This window comes from Homo sapiens, chromosome 3 (genome assembly GCF_000001405.40).
Source record: "Homo sapiens chromosome 3, GRCh38.p14 Primary Assembly".
Lineage (NCBI taxonomy): Eukaryota > Metazoa > Chordata > Mammalia > Primates > Hominidae > Homo > Homo sapiens.
Window position 1 is genome coordinate 73,304 of NC_000003.12, and position 6,000 is coordinate 79,303.

General features: G+C 39.3%; 1 annotated feature.

Moving 5' to 3' along the window:
* Nucleotides 3,697-4,896: an enhancer, noted in NCBI's record as "CDK7 strongly-dependent group 2 enhancer chr3:118683-119882 (GRCh37/hg19 assembly coordinates)". NCBI's record gives its function as "activates an origin of replication core promoter dependent on BRD2, BRD4, P300/CBP, MED14 and CDK7 cofactors, with strong dependence on CDK7, by STARR-seq in HCT116 cells {active_cell/tissue: HCT116}" and the evidence as "EXISTENCE:reporter gene assay evidence [ECO:0000049][PMID:35650434]".

Consider the following 6,000-nt stretch of genomic DNA (forward strand, 5'->3'; position numbering starts at 1 on the left):
TTTTCATTTTAAATGGGAAAGCTCAGAGGGCATTTTCCACTGGACCATCTGGAGGAAGCTGATCTGGCTTCCTCAGCCAGAGGTTTTACCAGTTGCCACCAATAAGGAACTATTTTGTGATGTTTCCAGAATTTGAAACCCTCTGCCACTTTGAATCCAGCTTTTAAACGTCCTTTTGCAAGGCCTGCCAAGAGCGAACTTGTAGAGAGCCAGGTTTCATTTGCAATTCAAAGAGACAACCCTATCATTGAATGTGGTCTTTAAAGGGAAGGGAGAGAGCAAAAGTTTGAAAAGAAGGAACTCAAGGAAGAGATCCTTCCATTTTGACTAGATATTGTGAATGTCATTCCTCTTGAATTCTTATTGTTCTTAAATGCTCTGCTCAGTGCCTGTCCTAGGTCCCCTAGCTTATGATTGTGAGTCAAAGTTGTCAGTCAGGTCATTTAAACTCAGAAGTTACCAGTGTCTTTTTCAAATTTGTGAGAATAGTGCTAGCTGCCCCACCAAGCTAGCATAAGGACTAACTTTTTATTGATCACTGGAAGCAATTCTGGTTTCTCAAAGAAATCAGACTAGTTTTGACATAAAACAGAATTTGGCAACAAAGCTTTGGGCAGAAGCACGAATACTTAACATAGGAGAAAGCACAGTGCATGCAAGTAGGTGAAAAAGAAGGAACTTGAAGGTAGGAAAGAGGGCGTGAGATGTCCATGTATAGGGAATGGGGAATGGTGTGGGGAGGGGAAATGCAAGAAGCCAGATTAAGGAAATTGAAGTGTAGAGTGAATAGATCAAGCTCTATCTGAGAAGAAGTCACATATGATCTTTCTGTAAATGAGTAGCCAGGAAGGGTGAAACCATTCCAACAACTGTTAAGGTTTTACATATTTTGTTTGTTTGTTTTTTGAGACGGGGTCTTGCTATGTTGCCCAGGCTGGTCTCCAACTCCAGGACTCAAGGGATCCTCCTGCCTCAGCCTCCCAAAGTGCTGGGATTACAGGCACATGCTACTGTACCTGGCAGGTTTTATATTTTTAAGGATTTAATCATGATAAACATATATTAGTGGAAAGGGGAACAACACAACATGTAGAAAAGGTAATATTGGGGGAGGCACATTTACAAAAATAGTTTAATTGCCACCAACCAGATAAGCAGGTGTGACGTGGCCCTACCTCTAATTACCCTGATGTTAGAACCTGATTATTAACTGAAGTGGTGCATTTATATAATGTGCATATAAAAAGCAGTGGACTAAGGAGGAGGGCATACATCTGAGGATAGTGTCTGCCCTTGTTAAAGTAAAGGGGTCCTGATCCAGACCCCAAGAGGATGTTCTTGGATCTTGCACAAGAAAGAATTCAGGGCAAGACCATAAATAATGTGAAAGCAAGTTTTTTAAGAAAGTAAAATAATGAAAGAATGACTACTCCATAGGGCAGAGCAGCAGCATGGGCTGCTCAGCTGCTGATACTTAGTTACTTGTTGATTATATGCTAAACAAGGGGTAGGTTATTCATGAGTTTTCAGGGAAAGGGGTGGTCAATTCCCAGAACTGAGGGTTTCTCTCCCTGTTAGACCATATAAGGTAACTTCCTGACATTGCCGTGGCATCTGTAACTGTCATGGTGCTGGTAGGAGTGTCTCTTAGCATGCTAATTCATTATAATTAGCGTATAATGAGCAGTGGGAATGACCAGAGGTCACTTTCATCACCGTCTTGGTTTTGGTGAGTTTTGGCTGGGCTTCTTCACTGCAACATCTGGAGGAAGCTGATCTGGCTTCCTCAGCCAGAGGTTTACCAGTTGCCACCAATAAGGAATCATTTTGTGATGTTTCCAGATTTTGTGATGTTTCCTTTACTGTTTTATCCTCAAGGTCTTTATGACCTATATCTTGTGCCAACAGCCTATCTCATTCTGTCACTAAGAATGCCTAACCTCCTGGGAATGCAGCCCAGTGGGCTCAGCCTCATTTTACCCAGCCCCTATTCAAGATAGAGTCACTCTGGTTCGAACAACTCTGACACCCTGGCATTAACCAGTTTCAAGACTTGGGCACAGACACCTCACCTCTGAACATTAGGATCTTTGTCTCCTGAGAAATGTGGTATGGTGGAAAGAAAGCATTTGAGTTTCCACGCCAATAACTGGATTAATGTTATGCCTCATACACTCAACAGCTGTGTGACATCAGACGATATTTCCACTCTCTGAGTCCATTTCCTCCTCTTTGGAATAAGATAATAAAGTCTGTTTTACAGGAAGGAGTGTGATTTTAAAAAAAGAATATACTGAGGCTGGCACAGGTAGGTGATAAATAAATTAGGTGCTAAAGATAATAGACGGTTATTAACTTTCTAATGAAGGGCTGAATGACATTTGTGCTTCCTCATAACCCCTAGAATTTTCTCATTCTCTGGATTATTGTTAAAGATAGTGCATATTCACCATAATTATACAGCACATACTTATTTCTTCACATTTTCAACGAATGTTTTTCTTTGGCTGTCTTTACCAGTTTATTTCAGAAAGAGAGAAACAGCAGAATCACTGGGCCACATTAAAACAATATGTCAGGAGAAAAATTAATTCCCTAATGGGGACTTTCTAGAATATTTCCTCTGCGTGTTCCCACCTTCACAAATGATGCAAGATAAAGCACCTTCCGTCTATCTCAGGATGTGATTTTACAATCCCAATTATTTTTACTGTCAAGAAGCATTTTCTCCATTTCTAGTCAAAATTTGCCTCCTTAATTTCAAATTGTGCCATGCTAAATAATTCACTGTTCTCTTTGTTTTGCTGGAGATTATGTATATACTAAATATGTTTTCCTCCCCTCCACACCTCTCCCCCGATCCTCTCTCTCTCTTTGTGTGGCTATTTGAAGGCACACAAATGTGCCTTCCTTAAATCAATAGCTTCTTTACAAAAAATATACACATGCTTTTGCACTCAGCATTTGCTATGCTCCTTTGCAACTGAAAATGTATGGATTAATTGGAATGCAATTAACACTCCTGAAACCAAGATCCTAGGATTTTAAGCTTTGAGAAACAGAAAACATAATGATAAAAGTAAGAGATATGAGGTGTAAACTAAAAATGAAATCCTAAGCCTCCCAGCTGACTAAGCAGACCCCTTCTTGGCTGAGGAGACCCCAGAGAAAACTGAAAAACTAAGTCCCTGGCCATGAAGATACAAGAAGTCAGACTCACCTCATTATACCTTCTCCCTTTTGGGATTTAGACACAACAACTGACCTGTATTAATGTAAAAATAGATATCATGAGAATGACAAAATAGACTCTTTGTGACAATAAGATATCAAATGATAAACAGGACCTAAGGCTGTGCAAGACAAGGGTTAAGTCATGCCTGCAGGCCATCAATTTTTCTTACCAGGTCATTTGATCTTGTATATTGTGGCTTGCTCTATGACTATTTTACTTCCTTAACTTAAACATTCCTTTCTGCCAACTCCAAGTTTTTAGACAAAGTTTTGCTCCTTTAATCAACTGCAAATTAAAGAATCTCTGAATCCACCTATGACTTGTAAGTCCCCCACTTTAAGATATCCCACCTATTCAGGCCGAACTAACGTATAGCCATTATGTATTGATTTATGTTTTTGCCTGTAACTCTTGCCTCCCTTAAACTTATAAGACCAAACTGGACTCTGCCTACCTCAAGGTTTCTTGGCTTTGTATTTTCCCTGAGCTGTGATCACTCATATTGATCACTCATATAGAACTTTGCTTCTTAATTCAGCCAAAACTGGGTTCTTGTCACATGACCAGGAAAAGTTAGGCATACAGACACATTGAAAGGTGAGGGGAATGGAATTTACTGGGTAAAAAGGAAAAAAAAGAAAAAAAAATCTCTCTCAGCAGAGCAAGAGGGGTTCCTGCTAACAGGCCCCCATTTCACAGATTGATTCCAGGCCACATACAGGAAACTGAAGAGGCCGGGCTCCTCCCTGCTGCAAACAGCCTGAACTTCTCCTGGCTCAACCCCGCTACCCTAGTGCGCAGACTCGTAGGAGATTCCCCAGGGTCCCTCCTTCTTATCTTCCTCCTGCATCTATCAATATTGGTTCAGAATAAACCTTTAAAAATATTTTACTCTGTGGTTTATGTTTTTTTCTGTTAATAGAGGAAATAAAAGGATGAGAGTGATCTTCCAAGGTTCACCCAAGTTATCAGTAGAGCCACATTATGTGCCTGGTCCTTGATAGCTCAAGGGTCACTAAGACACTAAGACGGTCTGTATCAACATTTATAACGATTTTCTAAGGCCCTGCAAGATCTAGGCAAAAATATAATGAATAAAGAGTAAACCATACTTACTTTTTCAGGCTTCCCAGTACGAGAAGAAGGCTCACACCGTTTGGAAATAACTTTTTTAAGCCGGGGTTTAAATTAAAGCACGTTTTGTTGTTGTTGTTGTTTGTTTGTTTTGGTTTTCTGGTTGATTTTCAGTTACTAAAAATTTTTTTCTGAAATACTTTTTATCATTGTGGTTTTTCCAGATGTTTCAATTAGGATTCTTGTGATTCCGATGACAACTGAAAGAGAAATAAAAAATAAGAAAAATTATTTCCTGTAACTGGAAGTTGAGGATTAGGACAAGTAGGCTTCAAGTTTGGTGGAGCCAATGACTCAACGACGCCATCAAAAACTTAGGATTTTTCCCATCTCTCAAAAGATGGAGAAATGAATCTGATCTGTTGGTTAGATCCTCTGGCTGGGGGCCTGGTGGTTAAAGCATTTCTAGGGATCCTATGCTTAAAAAGCAATGTCAAGAAGAGAAAAAGAGGCTCTCTTTTTAAAAGGCTAATTGATTTTCACAGAAACCTTAAGCCTCACTGTCCAGTGTTGAGTCATGTGCTCATTCCAGAATGGATAGCTGGTGAGGAACATAGCATTACCTTAAACTTACCTCAGACCTGAGCTTCTGGCTGTGTGGGAGAAGGGCAGATAACTCAACAATACCGTGGGTGTCTCAAGAAAATAACAACTGGGGATGGAATACTGGATGGACATCCAACCGTATCAAATACAGCAGGATTCTTTGAATTTTATTTTGATATCCTCACAAAAAAACATAAAAATAAATGATGTTTTGCATATTCTAAACCAATATTGGTGAAGAGCAGAGACTCTAACTGATTGGGAGGATTTTTGTTAATAAAATATCCAGTAGTTTTCAGCTCACATTTTTGTCATTATGGAGTTTTTTGTTTATTGCTTTTATTTCTTCAAAATCAGAGTCCCCTGAACATAAAGCTCATAACAAAATCAGAGTTCCCTGGGAGCATATAGCTCATAACGTTCTTCAGCATCTTCTAATGCAAACACAGTCTGAGCTTGGCAACTGTTTATATAAAAAGGAATTTGTTCAGGAAATATTGTGAAAAGTACAGGGAACAGACACAGAAATCCACCCAGGCTCTGTACTTTAGCATTAGGCTTAGAAGAGTTGTGGTTTTGCTTCATTCCCTGAAATAAAATATTTGGTTGATTGTTTGGTAGAGGAGTGTGGACGCAGGAAACCACAGTGTATACCTGGGAGAGGAATTGGGGTGGATAAACTCTCCTCCATTGAGGGGAAGCCTCTAGCTCTATATTTTGCTTCTAATTGACATAGCAGGGCTTTTTTCTTCCTGCATCACCACTGTCCTTTCTGCGGTTCCAGTATACATGTTGGATATTGGTTTACATTTCTAAACTTATTGAACGCATGACCCTTTATCTTACCCATTATTTACTGTTTAACTGTCAACTTTTACTGCGTATACTCAGGCAATAAGACAGAAAATACATCAAAACCCTTAATATCTTCTTGAAAAGATCTGAAATTACTCTTGAAAATGAAAAATTAGGTCTATTCTGGATCTCTGAAATACAATATTGTGCTCTTATATGTTTCCATCAAAGAAGGAAAGAGACATTTATTTAGTATAAATAGTAATATGGGCTAGACTCTGCACTGAGCA